The 20,771-nt window shown below is 42.3% G+C and overlaps 1 protein-coding gene and 1 pseudogene across 1 annotated transcript; both read left to right on the top strand.

The window, feature by feature from the left end:
- On the top strand, positions 1,204-2,541 carry ACTR3P1 (ACTR3 pseudogene 1; annotated as a pseudogene).
- Positions 2,542-7,553: 5,012 nt separating this feature from the next.
- OR10G3 (olfactory receptor family 10 subfamily G member 3) lies at positions 7,554-19,110 on the top strand. Its single transcript, NM_001005465.2, has 2 exons — positions 7,554-7,844; positions 16,869-19,110. Exon 2 carries the CDS (start codon positions 16,886-16,888, stop codon positions 17,825-17,827), a length of 942 nt encoding a protein of 313 aa, NP_001005465.1. The 5' UTR covers positions 7,554-7,844; positions 16,869-16,885; the 3' UTR covers positions 17,828-19,110.
- Positions 19,111-20,771: the final 1,661 nt, after the last annotated feature.

The raw sequence follows: 20,771 nt of genomic DNA, 5'->3' as shown, positions 1-20,771 counted from the left end.
AGCAGCTACTTTTGTTTAAATTGCCAATTGTGACATAAATAAAATAATGTTAGATAGAAACCAGAGTTAAGGGACATGTGTTTTATATAGCACCTAAGCTGGAAAACCTTATTGTTCTTGTCAGTGGAAATGAGATGCTGTTAAGGCTGTGAGATCTTGGGTTCATATGTAAGTTTAATCCATAAGACCTAACTACTCTTTTAGGAGTATATGTATCATTACAAATTTCATCAATAAACATATTTTTGTAGAATACAGCATGACTTTTGTGGAACAGAGCTGCCAGCAGGGACTCAGCTAGCTTCAACATGAAACTAGACCAAGGTGTGAACAACTTTTAAAATGATATATAAACCTGCACCTATTCATATCCCACTTCATAAAGTACCTCCTCACACACACTCTGGTTGCCACATACAAACCTGGTCCCATAATATATACAATTTCCTTTCTGAAACCTACTTCAAGTGAAACCTCCTCCCTTCCCCAGTTCTTTTCTTTTCCTTCCCTTTTTCCTTTCATCCATACTAAAATGGCTTCCATCTTACTGGCAGGATCTCAAGTAGCATTACTAAGGAACTGATTAAACTGAGCCACACTAGGTGAAAATAACTGATGCACACTCTAACCATTTCAAAGGTATTTAGGGTGCCTGGGCATCTTGGCTACCTGGGGAAAAGCAGCACAAGGACACCAAGTTGTAGGGTGGGAGCAGGAGTGACGAGGAGGGAAGGGAGAGGATGAGGAGGCCACAGTGGGACAGGGGAGGTATGGCCTGCCTGCCTGGGTTGTGGATAGTGCTGGGTGGTGAATAGTGCTGACTGAGCCTGATGCTTTCTTGCTATTGCTTTGCCTTCACAGATCCCCATCCCACCCACCCCCCACAGAGAAGGCAGCTCAGCTGTGGATGGTCAGATGCCCCATCTCCCACTGCCAATTTCTGGCCCCTACCAGCATGGAGCAAGTGGCAGCCGCTGCAGCAGCAGCAGCAGGATAAAAGGAGGAAAGATGACCTGACAGCTGACAGCCTACATAGCAGACTGTGGTACCAGGTATACAAAACCAGGATATGTCCAAAATAAAGAATCTCCGTTTACCATCCCTTCCTGTACTGCCATTAACAACTCAACAAAACAGATATAGAATTGAAGGTAAACTCTGTATTATTCTACCAATAAATTATTCATCCATGAAAAAAAAAACTCAACAAAAGTGGGTGGTCAAGTTCAAAAGGAGGGTGATGAAACATGCTGATGACCTAGACGTCTTTACTGGCGATGAAGCATTGGAAAATCTACATATACAACAAAGAGCCCATCCATCATGGTCTAGTTAAAGATTGGAACTCAATGGAAAGCTTTATAGAGCAAGTGATCTTTAAATATTTAAGGGCAGAACCTGAAGACCATTATTTTCTTTTGACTGGACCTCCGCTGAATACTCCAGAAAGCAGGGAATATATTCCTGAAATAGTGTTTGGGTCCTTCAATGTTCAGGTTTGTACATTGCTGTGCAGGTTGTTCTTGCTGTAGCTACATCCTGGACCACAAGACAAATAGGAGAATACATGTTGACTGGTAGGTTATAGACAAGTTGAAACGGTGTCACTCATGGCATTTCCGCGCCTGAAGGGTATGTGATTGGCAGCTGTATTAAACACATTCCAATTGCAGGATGAGCTATAACATATCTTACTCAGCAACTACTGAGAGACCAAGAAGTAGGAATCCCTCCAGAGCAATCCCTGGAAACTGCTAAGGCAGTAGAGGATCACTATAGTTATGTTAGCTCAGATTTAGTAAAAGAATTTAAAAAGTAAGGTGCAGATGGGTCGCAGTGGATTTAAACAGTGTATAAGAATCAATGCCATCTCAAATAAATAATTTTCCATCGATATTGGACATGAGAGATTCTTGGGACCTGAAATCTTTTCTCAACCAGGTTTGCTAATCCAGACTTTATACATCCCATCTCAGATGTTGCAGATGAAGTAATTCAGAATTGTCCTATTGATGTGAGACATCCTCTCAACAAGAATATTGTTGTCTATGGAGGTTCAACTGTGTTCAGGGACTTTGTACATCACTTGCAATGAGATATGAAAAGAACTGTAGATGTCAGGCTGACCTTAAGTGAGGAATTAAGTAGCAGTAGATTGAAGCCAGAAGCTATTGATGTACAAGTCATTACACACCACGTAGAGCAATATGCAATTTGGTTTGGAGGACCAATGCAGACTTCTATGCTTGAGTTCTATCAAGTATGCCACCCCGAAAAGGATTATAAAGAAATCGGACCTAGCATTTGTCATCACAATCTAGGGTTTGGAGTCATGTCATAAAATTGAGTTTATACTTATCGAGGTTAGGGAGGTGGGGCAGAGATAATCTTTCTGATTACCCATTTTGTCTGGATGGCAGATTTTGAAGTTTTATATCTGACTTGAAATAGTAATACCAAATGTGATTATGCAGGAATATTTTAATAAATGTATCAACATGCAACCTAGAACACAGCAAAAATGATTGCTTTTCTTCAGATTGAATATTTGAATCTTATGTGTGACAAAAATAAAGTGGGTTTACTTCTTTCTGTGCCCTGATATTTTGTATATTCACGAGTTATCCAAGATTTTATGCAGTTTATCAGTGTGTAGATCTATAACTTCTTTTTCTTTTTGTTTTTGTTTTTGTTTCATTTTTTTGTTTTGTTTTGGTTTTGGTTTTGTTTTGTTTTTGAGACAGAGTCTTACTCTATTGCCCAGGCTGGGGTGCAGTGGCGCGATGCAACCTCTGCCACCCAGATTCCAGCAATTCTCCTGCCTCAGCCTCCTGAGTAGCTGGGATTACAGGCACCTGCCACCGCGCCCAGCTAATTTTTTTTTGTATTTTCAGTAGAGACGGGGTTTCACCATCTTGGACAGGCTGGTCTTGAACTCCTGACCTCGTGATCCACCTGCCTTGGCCTCCCAAAGTGCTGGGATTACAGGCATGAGCCACCGCACCCAGCCGGATAGTTCTATAACTTCTAACTGTACAATACAAGAGTTCGTTTATATTTTATATTTCATATGTTTTATCCTTTGAGGGGAAATATCAAAGAAAAATAATACTTATTATTTGAGAGAAAAAAATGAACAAGTAAAGGATAAATTCAAAAAATAGCCTCATGAGACTTGGCACACTCATGGGATTCCAGTTATTATGATGTGCTTCAATCCCCCTGCTCCCCTCCCCCTTAAAAGTTTTTCTTTGCAAGTGCTTTTGGAATTAAGAAATTAATATCTTGTATTAACTGATGCCTTCTAGGGCTTTCTGATTACTCGCATTCTGTTTCTTGCATTAAAGACAAGGCAGGCTGGGCGCGGTGGCTTACACCTCCCAGCACTTTGGGAGGCCGAGGCGCACAGACTACCTGAGGTCAGGAGTTCGAGACCGGCCTGGCCAGCGTAGTGAAACTCCATCTCTACTAAAAATACAAAATTAGCCAGGTGTGATGGTGCGCACCTGTAATCCCAGCTACTTGAGAGGCTGAGGCAGGAGAATCACTTGAACCTGGAAGGCGGAGGTTGCAGTGCACTGAGATCGCGCCACTGCACTCCAGCCTGGGCAACAGGTGAGACTGTCTCAAAAATAAATAAACAAATAAAAATAAAAGACAAGGCAAGACATGGGACAGGGGAAAAAAAAGATATTTGAGCATCATATTGCTAATGGGTGCTAGAGAAAGGCTTCACTGGAGGGACCCAGTGTTTTATCTGGTAAATATACACGCCTTTAAACAAAGTATTCTCTGATTAAATCCTGGTATGTCCTTTAGAGAGACATCATGATATAGTGGAGTAGAAAGAGCATAGGTATTAAAAAAAATACACTGGATTTGAATCCTGACTTTTCCATCTACTGGAAATATGGCCTTGTGCCAAATTCAAATTAAACTCTCTGAACTTAGTTGCCTCTTCTATAAAATAAGGATATTCATATCTACCTCAACAAGAATTGAATAAATTAACACTTGTAAAGCTCTTAAACATGGGAGGTATCCAACAAATAATAATAAACATCATCATCCATACTGTATTATTAGTAGTAGCATAAATAAAGAGTCTTAAAAAAGATGTGTCGGAAATTTGAGAACAAGGATCATAAGCTTAGATTGCCAAGTATGGATGACTGTGGAATCAGAAAAATTATTTGATGAAAATGGCCACAATCCCCTACAAGAGGCAGTGTGAGCCATTCTACGGAAGGTGACCAACCAAACCAAAGAGATACATAAAAAAACAAAAAGCGGCTGGGCACAGTGGCTCACGCCTGTAATCCCTCCACATTGGGAGGCTGAGGTGGGTGGATCACCTGAGGTTGGGAGATCGAAACCAGCCTGGCCAACGTGATGAAACCCTATCTCTACTAAAAATACAAAAAAGTAGCTGGGCATGGTGGCACGTGTCTGTAATTCCAGCTACTCAGGAGGCTGAGGCAGGAAAATCGCTTGAACCCAGGAGGTGGAGGTTGCAGTGAGCTAAGATCGCACCACTGCACTCCAGCCTGGGCAACAAGAGCAAAACTCCATCTCAAAAAAAAAAAAAAAAAATTGGTCTGTCAGTCACAGGAGTACTGGAAGAAGCAGAGATGGAGACCTATTGAGTTACCATAACAAGGCAACACACAATTTGGACCAAATGATGTCTTCTTCTGATAGGGACAACAAAATATCCCAGTCACCAGAGCTGCCCTATATTCTGATTCATTCCCTGTTCCTGACCAGTCCATCTTCATGAGGCCCAGCTCTACTGCAGATCCTGTTTGTCTAGGCAATTTGGCTTTCAGTAGTTTGTATTTTTTTACTTTCCACATGTAAACATATGGTAGACTTTATTACTTAAGCTAATCTTAATATAGCTATGTTCCTTCCCACCTAAAAACAAATCTAAACAATCAGTAATCACAATCATCTTTATTAATGTTTTCATTTGGAGACGATCTCCCAGGATCATGCAGAAGAAAACACAAGGAGAAAAAAAAAAAAAGAAAGAAAACTTGAGTTCCAAATTACTGCCTGGTTTAAACATGATGTCTGCGTACATGACTCAATACAGTATTGCATTTCATGCTGAAAGTATGCTTCCTGGAGTAGTAGAAGCAGCAAAATACAAGAAAAGATCAGGACCTCAAGGAGAAATACCAATATTTGCGTGGCTTCACCTGCCCACCTGCAGCAGTCTTCCACCCACACGTGGTATAATGAGTTTGATTGATTGCCAACCATCACAGTTCTATGCAATTTATCCTGTAGGATACATGGCAGCCCTCTTCAAGTCAGTCCCAGAGCAATCCTACTTTCCAACTTAATTCCTGGTTATTCGCAAACCAGTCTATACCCGGGAAACAGATCACAATCAGAATTATGAGTCCACAGTTTGTTGGAAGGTCAAATCTCAAACCTAGGCTGCAATTCCTGAAGTTATAGGGATCAGTATGGGTTGTGGCTCTGCACAAAAGCCACACACACAGACTTTCAGCCATTTCTCCTCACTGATTAGCCACAAACATGCTTCGTGTTTCCCCACATCAGCTCTGTTCACCTGTGGGCCAAATTTGGCCTGCCCCGTGTGTTCTGTACAACCTGTTAAGAACTTACTTTTTTTTTTTTTTTTAACAAACGATCTCACTCTGTCACCCAGGCTGGAGTACAGTGGTACAATCACGACTCACTGCAGCCTCATCCTCTCAGGCTAAAGTGGTCCTCCTACATCAGCTGCCCAAGTAGCCGGGACCATAGGCATGTGCTACCACATCTGGCTAATTTTTTTTTTTTTTTTTTTTTTGGTAGAGAAAGGGTCTCACTATATTCACTATGCTGTTCTTGAACTCCTGGGCTCCACCTTCGCCTCCCAAAGTGCTGGGATTACAGGCATGAGCCACTGCACCCTGCTAGAACTTACATTTCTTAAGTTGTTGAAAAAAGCAAAATGAAAATAATATTTCATGATACATGAAAATTATGACATTCAAATTATAGTATCTATAAGTAAAGTATATAATTAAGTAAATAAATAAAACCATGCCGGGGTTGGGCTAGGTGGCTCACTCCTGTAATCCCAGCACTTTGGGAGGCTGAGGCGGGCAGATTGCCTGGGGTCAGGAGTTCTAGTCCAGCCTGGCCAACATGGTAAAACCCTGTTTCTACTAAAAGTACAAAAATTAGCTGGGCATGGTGGTAGGTGCCTGTGATCCCAACTACTCGTGAGGCTGAGGCAGGAGAATCACTTGAACTCCGGAGGCAAAGGTTGTAGTGAGCCGTGATCACACCACTGCACTCCAGCCTGGGCAACAGAGTGAGACTCCGTTTCAAAAAAAAAAAAAACCCATGCCCATTTGTATGTGTATTTTATGGCTGCTTTCCCATACAATGGCAGAGTTGAGTAGCTGCAACAGAGACTGTATGGTCCTCAAGGCCAAAAACATTTATTATCTGCCTCTTTAGAGAGAAAGTGTGCTTTCCTCTGCTTTAGACACTTTAACACAATTGTGGCTTGGAAGCTACAGAGACCTCCACAAAAGTTTGGTGGAAAAAATAATAAAACTAAACCATATTCAAGATGTTCTTTTACAACACAGACCATCTCTGGACATTTGAAGACAGTTGGGAAAAATGTTGCGACAACACCAAATTTAAGTCTAGAAGAAAATAAGTTAGACCAAATTCAAAGTATTCAAGGAAACAAGACCAAGAAATACTAAGAAAAATAACAGGCCGGGGGCAGTGGCTTGCACCTGTAGTCCCAGCATTTTGGGAGGTAGAGGGAGGAGGATCACTTGAGCCCAGGAGTTCAAGACCAGCCTGAGCAATCTAGTGAGACCTCGTCTCTACGAAAAATTTAAAAATTAGTCAGGTGTGGTGGTATGTGCCTGTAGTCCCAGCCACTTGGGAGGCTGAGGTGGAAGAATCGCTTGAGCCTAGGAGGATGAGGCTGCAGTGAGCCGTGATCACGTCGCTGCACTCCAGCCTGAGCGACAGAGCAAGACCCTGTCTCAAAAAATAAATAAATAAATAAAATTGTAAAATTAAAAAAGAAAAATCACTGTTCAGGGAGCTTGACTTAAAACATTACAGATGATAGTTGGATCAGATGACCTCTAATGTCCCTCCAACCCTGAAATTCTGTTTCTTCTAGTCTGTGAAGGTCTATGTTAGCACCTTAGTAATTCAAAGTGTGAATTTCTTAAAATGTGAATGCACCAATAAGAACACATCTCTTGCCAAGTAACAACCATGTTAGCTTTTTCTTCTCTTTTTTTCCAAATTTGCTTTGGAACAGAAAGAAAACCACAGATCTGAAGATTTCAACGAGACCTGTTAAGCCCCACAGACTTTGTCGCACCTGCTGTTACAAAATTGGAAAAAGCTAGAAACCCAGAGAGTCTCCTAGGAAACAAACTATGGATATTGGTCTTGCCTATCACAGGAGTGCTATTACAATATTCCCCAAGCTAAAGGTCTCACACATAAAAACTGACTCTGAGGGAAATAGAAGAAGTAGTAGAACACAGGAGAGACCAACCTTAACAGTTATCTTCAGTAAGAGCCACAGCTCCTCCCCCAGTTCATAAGGAAGCTGGAAGCAGATATCTCTACAAATAAGCAGGCAAATAATAAATTAAGTTTCCATAGTTTGACTCTTTACTTTGATCCAGCCAAAAGTAATTAGTTGGGTCTTCTGCCACGAGCTCTTCACAATAATTGCTGCTGACCTATGAGATATTCAAGATTCCTTAGGAATAGATTTGTATCCTTTCTCTCCGTCTGCAAGAAGAGTTTTTGATGGATGCTGACACCTTCAGGTGAGTTCCTCTTCTCAAAATAGCACCTGCCACTGTTCTAATCCCATTTTTCAGAGATAAATGTTAAGTCCAAACATTGTGTAAGGGGTTTCTCTACTCTGAGTCACTTCATCTCTCAATATTCTTACTTGTTTAGTTACTCAGTATAGTTCTTTTTCTGCTGTCACAAAAATTTTCTTTGCTGTTCTGCTCATATGACTATGTAACTACCATTTAGCCTTTTTATAAATAGTGGCTAATAGGCCAAGCATGTTGGCTCACACCTGTAATCCCAGCACTTTGGGATGCCAAGACGGGCGGATCACCTGAGGTCAGGAGTTCAAGACCAGCCTAACCAACATGGTAAAACCCCATCTCTACTAAAAATACAAAAATTAGCTGGGGGTGGTGGTACACGCCTGTAATCCCAGCTACTTGGGAGGCTGAGGCAGGAGAATCACTTGAACCTGAGAGATGGAGGTTGCAGTGAGCCAAGATGGCACAACTGCATTCCAGCCTGGGCAACAGAGAGAGACTCCATCTCAAAAATAAAAATTAAAATTAAAAAAATTAAAAAATTAAAAAATAGTGGCTAATATTGGATAACACTATTTCCCCCAGGCCTTTAATTGGCTAAATTTTTCTCCAAAGCTATTCTCCATTAAAAGTCCATTCACTGGTTTTAATACCAACCAGACTAGGAAGAGCATCTTCGAGTTCTGTGGTGGTGCCACCCTTGCTCTGTTCTTTTTGTCCTCACCAGGTCCCTTCCACCTATAAGACAAGTTCTCTGCCCAAAATTTGAAAAATGGACATGAGTAAAGCTATAACCTGATTTCTTTGTTGGCAAATATTTTAAACAGACAATTCTAACTCATTGCTAATAAGGGTTTTACATTTTAATAGAAATTGTCTCATGTCTCTCAATTTAATAACTCAAACTTTTCTCATATTATATATGTATATATTTGTTCCATTGTTATTCATCTTTAAATTATTTTCCATTTTATATGTCTTATTGTGAAATTTATTTTAAAAAGAAATTAATTATATTAGTTTTCCAAATATTTGAAATGCTTTTTATAAATAAAAAAGTGTGCTTTGAGTCGATTTTCAGAAAATAATAAAATTTTTAAAGTTTTCTTCATGGCCATTTGAAAGATGGGTTAGGGATACAGTTTGGGACCAGAATTAAGTAAAATTCATTTGCTGAAATGAGGTTAAGCCTGTGCCCTTCGCCTCATTAGAAAAGATGTCTAATCTCCTTGGTTGCTCAAAATTATACACTTTTATTTAGTTTGTGGTCCCCTAATATTTCTCATATATTTTTCAAACATTCATGTACTAGATGGTCTTTATTTTATTTTGTTTATTTATTATTTATTTATTTATTTTGAGATGGAGTTTCATTCTTGTTGCCCAGGCTGGAGTGCAATCGCACGATCTCAAGTCACTGCAACCTCTGCCTTCCGGGTTCAAGCTACTCTCCTGCCTCAGCCTCCTGTGTAGCTGGGATTACAGGCTCATACCACTATGCCCAGCTAATTTTTGTATTTTTAGTAGAGACGAGGTTTCACCATGTTGGCCACACTGGTCTCAAACTCCTGACATCAGGTGATCCACCAGCCTTGGCCTCCCAAAGTGTTAGGATTACGGGCATGAGCCACCGCGACCGGCCTCTAGATGGTCTTTAATATTTGATATCAGATGAGAATTCAAAAACACATTTAATCAATATATTCAAAGACTAAGTATCTGTGAAATAAAAACACTACTAAGCCTTCAGGCTTTTTTCTTTTTTTTTGAGTTGGAGTTTTGCTCTTGTTGCCCAGACTGGAACGCAATGGTGTGCTCTCAGTTCACTGTAATCTCAGCCTCCCAGGTTCCAGCGATTCTCCTGCCTCAGCCTCCTGAGTAGCTGGGATTACAGGCATGTGCCACCACACCACACTAATTTTGTATTTTTAGTAGAGACGGGGTTTCTTCACGTTGGTCAGGCTGATCACCCGACCTCAGGTGATCTGCCCGCCTCGGCCTCCCAAAATGCTGGGATTACAGGCGTGAGCCACCGCGCCCGGCCTCCCTCGGGCTTTTTTAAGAAACACTCAGTGTGATAGATTGTCAATGAAAGAAGTCGGGCAACTTCATGAATTCATTGTAACTAAACTTCACTCTAGTTTGATTTTAGAACTTGCTCTTAACTCCACTATGTCTCAATTTTGAAATAGGGTAGTAACACCAGTTTAGAATCCTTGACAGAATGAACCATAAAACTCTTAAAATTGTGATTCAGTTCACATGATTTACTACATTATTTTGATTTGGTTCCTTGTGGGAAGGAATTTTCAGTAAAATGTGGAAAGAGTGCTGGACTAGGAACAACACAATCTGGTTGGAGCCTTTACTCCAGCATTATACAGCTGTGAGACTCCTCTGCCATTTAACCTCTAAGGATTAAAAAACACTACACAGGTGCAAAATGCCACCATTATTCTATGACTTTTTATCACTCTGGTCCCCGGAGGTTTCATCGGTGCCATGTTTCCTTCTCCTTGTGCCATGTCTCTTTCTCTCCCTCCATGTCTCTTTCTGTCCCTCCGTATCTCTCTCTCTCTCTCTCTTTTATTTTTGAAAGCATTTAAATAAAGTGTCTCAGAACCACATGTGGGATATTAATGAGCCAGAGAGTATGCAGAAGGGTGGTTACCTGGCAAATACTAAGCTTTATGCTTGGAGGTTTATGATAATGGCAGTGACACAGGGAGAAAGGTCTTAACAGATCAGAGGTAAAGGGAAGTTTTTCTATTAATATTTATAACTTACTGAGGAGCAAAAAGTTAGAGAAACAAAAAGAAGAAAACAAAAAGAGGTAACTGGGATGAAATCACACCCAATAAAGATACTCGGTATTACAAATAAAACTGCACTCTTTCCTCTCATTCCTCCCTTTAAGATGGTTCTGAAATCTAAGGACAAAGTTAGAAAATTCTATTCTCTGGTTGAATAAAACAAGAATCATCATGCTATGGGTGGACTGTCATTCCCTATCAATGGAAAATTTTGCAAAAGAAATAACACTTTTTAGGGAGTAAATCTTAGAATATTCTCCAAAGCAAACAAGAAAACAGTATGAAAAATAAATCAGGGAAAAATAATTAGGGAACTCTAAAAAGTTAGAAAAATGTTGAAAAAGAGCCAATGGAAATAACAAAGGCAATCTAAAAAGATAGAAATTCAGGGAGAAAATAATTAGAATAAAACTTTGTTGATGTATCTTCGTTACTGCCCAAGGGAAAAAGATAACTGTATCTGAAGGGAAAATTGAAGTATTCCCTTAGATACAGATGCTGTGTGATTTACCAGGTGTAGTTCACTGTGACCTAACTTAAGTGTGCTTCATGAAATTCCCCTTGCTGTGATTCAAAACTCAGAATTACACATTTGATTCCTAATTTCATTTCCAGGGACCATGAAGTATTAATACGTGGGTGCCCTGGGCAGTAGACACATCATTTCAGACATGGGAGCAAGATCTCCCACTGTAAAGTAATAAATTATTTGTTTAGTTTTTAAGTCATTCTCTCAGGTACTTGAATAGTGTGAACTGATTTCCCTCAGCCTGATTCCCCCAGAGAGACCTAACCAAATCAGGCTTCTAAATCTGGACACTTTAACAACAGACCTCAGTGACCCCAGAAAACTATAGCATCCCATGACACGACACACAGACCAGAGCAGCCACCTGAGCTCCTTCAGCCCAGGGCTACCATTGTGCACTGCCATGAATTTCCCAAGGAACCTGTGTGGGAACTTGAGCCTCTGTACTTTCTGAAGTCAAGGAACGCGGGGAGGAGGCCAGCATCTGTAGCTCTGGCATCTGGAAGAGGATTGCGGTCAGCTTTTTGAAGTTCAGCCATCGCTGTGATCCTGTGGCTATAATGTTTAAAACTGAAGAATTTATAAACTGCATTTTATTGACTTGAAAGAGGATAAAATGGCATGGGGTGGCGGGATTTACTGCCTTTTTTTTAAGTTTCATAACAGAGATGGTTAAATGATGAGAGCTAAGCTCTGAAAGAGCTTGGGTACAGCAGTTTTAAAGCTAAGTGTTTAATGTAAAGACTATTGAGCCGAGGGCAGTGGCCCACGCCTGTAATCCCAGTACTTTGGGAGGCCGAGGCGAGCAGATCATGAGGTCAGGGGTTCGAGACCAGCTTGGCCAACATGGTGAAACCCCATCTCTACTACAAATACAAAAATTAGCCGGGCATGGTGGCGCATGCCTGTAATCCCAGCTACTCAGGAGGCTAAGGCAGGAGAATTGCTTGAACCCAGGAGGCAGAGGTTGCAGTGAGCTGAGATCGTGCCACTGCCCTCCAGCCTGGGTGACAGAGCAAGACTCCATCTCAAAAAAAAAAAGACTTGAGGCCAGGCACAGTGGCTCACGCCTGTAATCCCAGCACTTTGGGAGGCCGAGGCGGGCAGATCATGAGGTCAGGAGATCGAGACCATCCTGGCTAACACGGTGAAACCCTGTCTCTACTAAAAATACAAAAAATTAGCTGGGTGTGGTGGCGGGCTCCTGTAGTCCCAGCTACTTAGGAGGCTGAGGCGGGAGAATGGCGAGAACCCGGGAGGCGGATGTTGCAGTGAGCCGAGATCGCACCACTGCACTCCAGCCTGGGCGACAGAGCAAGACTCTGTCTCAAAAAACAAAATAAAACAAAAAAGACTTGAATGTAACTATCCCTTGTTTTTCACTATTTGTCAAAATTGGATCCACAGTCTCATTCCGCATCCTCATAGCCCCAGTGAAGAAATTGAAACCCAGAGGAGTTGGCTTTTTTGTATGTTGTTTGTGTTTTTGTTTTAAGACAGGGTCTCTCACTCTATCACCCAGGCTGGAGGGCAGTGGTTCACCTTGACCTTCTGGGCTCAAGAAATCCTCCCATCTCAGCCTCCCAAGTAGCTGGGAACACAGGTGCGTGCCAATACGCCCAGTAAATTTTTTTTATTTTTTTTATAGAAATAGGGTCTTGCTATGTTGCCCAGGTTTGTCTCAAACTCCTGGGCTTAAGCAATCCTTCTGCCTCAGCCTTCCAAAGTGCTGGGATTACAGGCATAAGCCACCACACCCAGTCCCAGAGGAGCTTTGAGACTCGCTCAGAACCAAGAAGTGAACTAATGACCAGATCCATTATGATGGCAACCTAACGATTGAGATCCATTATAATGTTTACATTTGTTGCTCTCAGCCAGCAGCAGGACCATCTGTCTACGATGACTTACTTCTTCACCAGAGTTGCCAGTTCCCTGCTCTCCACAGTCCCCTGACCCAAGCAAGGCAGAATGCTGCCCTGCACAGGAGTGAAGGTAGAGAGAATCATTAATCAGAAAGCTCCTGACATTTCCCTGTTAATCTTACTCTCCTCCTTCTGAGTGGATGGAAATCAGTCCAGAGAAAAAAAAATCAATCAATTTCTTTTTTTTTTTTTTTTTTTTTTGAGATGGAGTCTTGCTCTGTGGCCCAGGCTGGAGTACAGTGGCTCAATCTCCGCTCACTGGAAGCTCCGCCTCCCCGGTACATGCCATTCTCCTGCCTCAGCCTCCCCAGTAGCTGGGACTACAGGTGCCCACCATCACGCCCGACTAATTTTTTGTATTTTTAGTAGAGACGGGGTTTCACCGTGTTAGCCAGGATGGTCTCCATCTCCTGACCTCGTGATCCGCCTGCCTCAGCCTCCCAAAGTGCTGGGATTACAGGCGTCAGCCACCGCGCCCAGCCAAATCAATCAATTTCAATTTTTTTGACATCCTACCTCAAGTCATGAGTATTTTTCAGTAAAAATTTTCATCAAGCCTGTTTTATTTAAACTTTTATTTTTAATCAATAAATAATAGTTAAATTAAAAATGTGATGTTTTGATAGATGCATATACATTGTAGAATGATTGTATCAAACTAACATATCCATTGCCTCACATACTTGTCTTTTTTTGTAGTAAGAACACTTAAAATAAGCTCTTTTAGCAATCTGAAATATATATTATTATTAACTATGGTCACCATGCTGTTCAATAGGTCCTGAAAACTCACTTTTCCTGTCTAACTGAAACTTCGTACTTTTTTTTTTTTGAGACAGAGTCTTGCTCTGTCACCCAGGCTGGAGTGCAGTGGCACAATCTCAGCTCACTACAACCTCCACCTCCTGGGTTCAAGCAATTCTGCCGCCTCGACCTCCTGAGTAGCTGGGATTACAGGTGCATGCCACCACACTGGGCTAATTTTTTTATTTTAGCAAGGACAGGGTTTCACCATGTTGGCCAGGCTGGTCTCAAACTCCTGACCTCAAGTGATCTGCCTGCCTTGGCCTCCCAAAGTGCTGGGATTACAGGCGTGAGCCACTGCACCCAGCTGAAACTTTGTACCTTTTGATCAACATCTCTGCATTCCCCATCCGCATTCCCATCCCCGGCATCTAGTAACCACCATTCTCTTTTTTTCTTTTGTAAGTCCAATTTTTTTTAGATTCCACATATAAGTGAGATCATGCAATATTGTCTTTCCATGCCTGGCTTATTTTGCTTAATATAATGTCTTCCAGGTTCATTCATATTGTCACAAATGACAGGATTTCCTTCTTTTCTAGGGCTGAATAGTATTCTGTTGAATATATATGACATTTTGCAGACAAATGTGGTAGAACTTTTCCCGTTTTCTTCCAGTAGTTTTACAATTTCAGGTCTTATGTTTAAGTCTTTAATTCATTTTGAGCTGATTTTTGCTAATGGTGTGAGATAAAGGTCCAATTTCATTCTTTTGCATATGGATATCCAGTTTTCCCAACACCATTTATTGAAGAGACTGTCCTTTCCCCATTGTGGAACAAAAAGATACCAAATAGCCAAAGCAGTCTTGCACACACACAGAAAAAGCCACAGGCATCATATTATCTTATCTTAAAATATATTATAAAGTTATAGTTATCAAAACAGCATGGCACTGGCATAAAAACAAACACATCAACCAATGACAGAATACAGAGCCCAGAAATCAACCCATCCATTTAAGGTCAGTTAATTTTCAAAAAAGTTTCCAAGCCATGAATTTAGATATCTGAAAATTATAGGACTAGAAGGAATTTTAAAAGCTCATTATTCCAACCCTTTTCCTTCTTTTTTTTTTTTTTTTTTTTTTTGTTTGTTTGTTTGAGATGGAGTCTCGCTCTGTCACCCAGGCTGGAGTACAGCCGTGCAATCTCTGCTCATTGCAGCCTCTGCCTCTCAGGTTCAAGCAATTCTCCTGCCTCAGCCTCCCAAGTAGCTGGGAGTACAGGCACCCACGACCACACCTGGCTAATTTTTGTATTTTTAGTAGAGATGGGGTTTCACCATATTGGCCAGACTGGTCTCGAATTCCTGACCTTGTGATCCATCTGCCTCGGCTTCCCAAAGTGCTGGGATTACAGGCGTGAGCCACCACACCTGGCCTTTTTTTTTTTTTTTTTTTTTTTTTTTTTTTGAGATGGAGTTTCACTCTTTTGCCCAGGCTGGAGTGAAGTGGTGCAATCTCAGCTCACCTCCACCCCCTGGGTTCAAGTGATTCTCCTGCCTCAGCCTCCCGAGTAGCTGGGATTATAGGTGCCCACCACCGTGCCTGGCTAATTTTTGTATTTTTAGCAGAGGCAGGGTTTCACCATGTTGTTCAGGCTAGTCTTGAACTCCTGACCTCAGGTGATCCACCCTCCTCGGCCTCTCAAAGTGCTAGGATTACAGGCATAAGCCACCGAGCCCACCCGCCAACCCTTTTCTTTAGGTTAAAAAATGCCAAGTAAGCTGGGTGTGGTGACTCATGCCTGTAATCCCAACACTTTGGGAGACCAAGGCAGGCAGATCACTTGAGGCCAGGAGTTCAAGATCAGCCTGGCCAACATGGTGAAACCCCGTCTCTACTAAAAATACAAAAATTAGCCAGGCATGGTAGCATATGCCTGTAATCCCAGCTACCCGGACACTGAGGCATGAGAATTGCTTAAACCTGAGAGGCAGAGGTTTCAGTGAGCTGAGATCATGCTATTGCACTCCAGGCTGTGTGACAGAGAGAACTCTGTCTCAAAAAAAAAAAGAAATGCGAATCAAGGAGTTGGACTAAGAACTTAAAATAATTCTTCCACACTGAGAGTGGTTTGTTCTGGTCTAGCAATCCTCTCATTCTCTCCAATCATCCTTTAATTTTCCTTAAATCTCTGACTTCTCACTAGAGCCAGCCCTCATTTCTTCTTTCTCTCCTCTCTTTACTGTGTCTTAAGGCTAAATGATCACATGCAAAGCAACTGAATTATATAGCACCAAGTACCAACCACAGTGCATAGTGGCGATAGTCCTCACTTTATTTATGTACTTACAGCTTCATGGTCATTCTCTTCCTTTTAATGGTAAAGAACTTGGAAAGTAGATCTGTACAGCATCAAGCACTGTCACACATAAAAATCAGCCACTTATTTTCTGCATTTCCTTTCTGCATATTCCCCACTCTATGTAAGTTTATGTCCTGGCAGAGATAAGAGTGAGCCAGTGGCCTCTGGAAGATTCTGAGCGGGCAGAGCACCTAATGAAACAAATACCCTTTCTCACATATATCATGTTTCCAGGAAATCCTGGCCTGTACTAACACAACAGTCAATGATTATTTTCCAAAGGTTATTGGAAAAAGTGCTCTAAGTACAAAACCCTCGGTGCAAACTTTTTCTATAAATGTCCAGGGAGTAAATAGTTTATGTTTTGCAAGCTAAATGCAACCACTCATCTCTGTCATAGTAGCTCCAAAACAGTTACGGACAATATGTAAGTAAATGAGCAAGGCTGTGTTCCAATAAGATCTTGTTTACAAAACACCTGCCAGAGAACATTGTTTCTCCCTACTTGTCATCTTTCCACGTAAGAAAGAAACTTCTCTGCCACTGCCCCTAGTTTTTACAATCTCTTTCTAGTTCCCCCTCACTTTCCTCTCACCTCTATGTTAATTCTTGTTTTGTCCATTCTCTAGGTAAGATTCTCTGGGATATGGAAAGAATCAACAGCACACTGTTGACTGCGTTTATCCTGACAGGAATTCCGTATCCACTCAGGCTAAGGACACTCTTTTTTGTGTTCTTTTTTCTAATCTACATCCTGACTCAGCTGGGAAACCTGCTTATTTTAATCACTGTCTGGGCAGACCCAAGGCTCCATGCCCGCCCCATGTACATCTTTCTTGGTGTTCTCTCAGTCATTGATATGAGCATCTCCTCCATCATTGTCCCTCGCCTCATGATGAACTTCACTTTAGGTGTCAAACCCATCCCATTTGGTGGCTGTGTTGCTCAACTCTATTTCTATCACTTCCTGGGCAGCACCCAGTGCTTCCTCTACACCCTAATGGCCTATGACAGGTACCTGGCAATATGTCAGCCCCTGCGCTACCCTGTGCTCATGACTGCTAAGCTGAGCGCCTTGCTTGTGGCTGGAGCCTGGATGGCAGGATCCATCCATGGGGCTCTCCAGGCCATCCTAACCTTCCGCCTGCCCTACTGTGGGCCCAATCAGGTGGATTACTTCTTCTGTGACATCCCTGCAGTGTTGAGACTGGCCTGTGCTGACACAACAGTCAACGAGCTGGTGACGTTTGTAGACATTGGGGTGGTGGTTGCCAGTTGCTTCTCCCTGATCCTCCTCTCCTACATACAGATCATTCAGGCCATCCTGAGAATCCACACAGCTGATGGGCGGCGCCGGGCTTTTTCAACTTGTGGAGCCCATGTAACCGTGGTCACCGTGTACTATGTGCCCTGTGCCTTCATCTACCTGAGGCCTGAAACCAACAGCCCCCTGGATGGGGCAGCTGCCCTAGTCCCCACGGCCATCACTCCTTTCCTCAACCCCCTTATCTACACTCTGCGGAACCAAGAGGTGAAGCTGGCCCTGAAAAGAATGCTCAGAAGCCCAAGAACTCCGAGTGAGGTTTGAAAGTGTCTTTCTCCCACTAGGGAAGCTGCCACAATTAGAATTTATTATAATGTTTAGGCTTCGGTAACTTTTTTCTTTTCTTCTTGTTTTTTCTCTTTTATATAGCCATACTGTATGATCAAACACAGTTTAAGGTAAAATACTAACTTTCTAACAGTTCCTTAGTATCCTCTCAAGATAACTCTCAGCCACTGCAAGAGTAGAGAATGAGACCAAATTCTCACAAACTAAACCACATTAAACAATCCAGAAGAAAGAATGCAATAGTGTATTTTCCAATGTCTCAGTAATAAATTCTCCCACACCAAAACGTAGAGTTCAATATGATATTTCCCAATATTATATTTGATATTTAATATTGAGTGTCAATATTGAGTGTCAACTTGATTGGATTGAAGGATACAAAGTATTGATCCTGGGTGTGCCTGTGAGGGTGTTGCCAAAAGAGATTAACATTTGAAGGCTGGGAAAGGCAGATCCACCCTTAATCTGGGCAGGCGCAACCTAATCAGCTGCCGGCGAGGCTAGAATATAAGCAGGCAGAAAAATGTGAAAAGAAAGACTGGCCTAGCCTCCCAGCCTACATGTTTCTCCTGTGCTGGAACCATCCTACCCTCAAACATAAAACTCCAAGTTCTTCAGTTTTGGAACTTGGACTGGCTCTCCTTGCTCCTCAGCCTGCAGATGGCCTATTGTGGGACCTTGTGACCATGTGAGTGAATACTTAATAAACTCCCCTTTATATATATATAAATATATATATATTTTTTTCCCATTAGTTCTGTCCGTCTAGAAAACCCTAACGCTGGGCGCGGTGGCTCACGCTTGTAATCCCAGCACTTTGGGATGCTGAGGCAAGCGGATCACGAGGTCAGGAGATCGAGACCACGGTGAAACCCCGTCTCTACTAAAAATACAAAAAAATTAGCCGGGTGTGGTGGCGGGCGCCTGTAGTCCCAGCTACTCAGAGAGGCTGAGGCAGGAGAATGGCGTGAACCTGGGAGGCGGAGGTTGCAGTGAGCCGAGATCGCACCACTGCACTCCAGCCTGGGCGACAGAGTGAGACTCCGTCTCAAAAAAATAAAAAAATAAAAAAAAAAAAAACAAAGAGACCCCTGACTAACACAGGGGTGAAAGATAAAAGACTACATATTGGGTACAGTGTACACTGCTTGGGTTATGGGTGCACCAAAATCTCAGAAATCACCACTAAAGAACTTATCCATGTAACCAAAAACCACCTGTACTCCAAAAACTATTGAAATAAAATTTTCTTAAAAAGCAATTTTTTAAAAATTACTATTTCTGGGGCCAGGCATGGTGGCTCATGCCTGTAATCCCAGTACTTTGGGAGGCTGAGGAGGGCAGATCACCTGAGGTCAGGAGTTTGAGACCAGCCTGGCCAACATGGCAAAACCTCGTCTTTACTAAAAATACAAAAATTAGCCAGGCGTTGACCGGGCATGGTGGCTCACGCCTATAATCCCAGCACTTTGGGAGGCCGAGGAGGGCGGAACACCTGGGGTCAGGAGTTTGAGATCAGCCTGACCAACATAGAGAAACCGTGTGTCTACTAAAAATACAAAATTAGCCGGGCATGGTGGCGCATGCCTGTAATCCCAGCTACTCAGGAGGCTGAGGCAGGAGAATCACTTGAACCCGGGAGGCAGAGGTTGCGGTGAGCTGAGATTACGCCATTGTACTCCAGCCTGGGCTCGAAACTCCATCTCAAAAAAAAAAAAATTTAGCCAGGCGTAGTGGCACGTGCTTGTAATTTCAGCTACTCAGGAGGCTGAGGAAGGAGAATCGCGTGAACCCGGGAGGCAGAGGTTGCAGTGAGCCGAGATATCACTGCACTCCAGCCTAGGCGACAGACCGAGACTCCGTCTCAAAAAAATAAAAATAAAAATAAAAAATACTTTTTCAAAGCCATAGCCACAAGAATCTCAGGAAAAATAGAGGGAAAAGCTAATACAAGGCTCTAGGATGGAAAAGAAAAAAAAAAGCTTGGCATGTTTGAAAGGAAAGCTAGTGTTGGTGAAAGGTAGTATATGGGGGAGAGGTTACATGACCATACTACACGTGAAGGGTAGATATTGTAAAGCCTCAGAAACTATGTAGGAAGTTTGGATTTAATCTAACATAATAGGCAATGTGTTAGCAGCAGAAATTTAGCGCCTTAAACAACATCCAGCCGGGCGCAGTGGCTCACGCCTGTAATCCCAGCACTTTGGGAGGCCAAGGCGGGTGGATCACCTGAGGTCGGGAGTTCGAGACCAGCCTAACCAACATGGAGAAACTGCATCTTTACCAAAAATACAAAATTACCCAGACATGATGGCGCACGCCTGGGAGGCTGAAGCAGGAGAATCGCTTGAACCCGGGAGGCGGAGGTTGCAGTGAGCTGAGATCGCACCATTGCACTCCAGCCTAGGCAACAAGAGCCAAACTCCGTCTCAAAAAAAGAAAAAAGAAACAATATCCAATTTATTAGCTCACAGATTTATAAATCAGCAGTCCATGTACAGGGTCTCACACTTTGGGAGGCCAAGGCGGGCAGATTACTTGAGCTCAGGAGTTGGAACCCAGCCTGGGCAACATGGCAAAACCCCATCTCTACAAAACATACAAAGAAATTAGCCAGGTGTGGTGGCGCACACCTGTAGTCCCAGCTACTCTGGAGGCTGAGGTGGGAGGATTGCAGCCCAGGAGGCAGAGGCTGCAGTGAACTGAAATTGTACCACTGAACTCCAGCCTGGGTGACGGAGCAAGACCCTGTGTCAAAAATAATTAAATAAATAAATAAATAAATAAATAAAAATAAAAAAATTAAGACATATACTTAACTGAAAAAGTAAGGTGCAGAACAATGTATATGCCTTTGACTTTTTATTTATTTTTTGAGACGGAGTCTCACTCTGTCACCCAGGCTGGAGTGCAATGG

This window comes from Homo sapiens, chromosome 14, assembly GCF_000001405.40.
Source record: "Homo sapiens chromosome 14, GRCh38.p14 Primary Assembly".
Taxonomy (NCBI): Eukaryota; Metazoa; Chordata; class Mammalia; order Primates; family Hominidae; genus Homo; species Homo sapiens.
The sequence above is the reverse complement of the archived record's forward strand: the minus strand, read 5'-3'. Positions and strand labels throughout refer to the sequence as shown.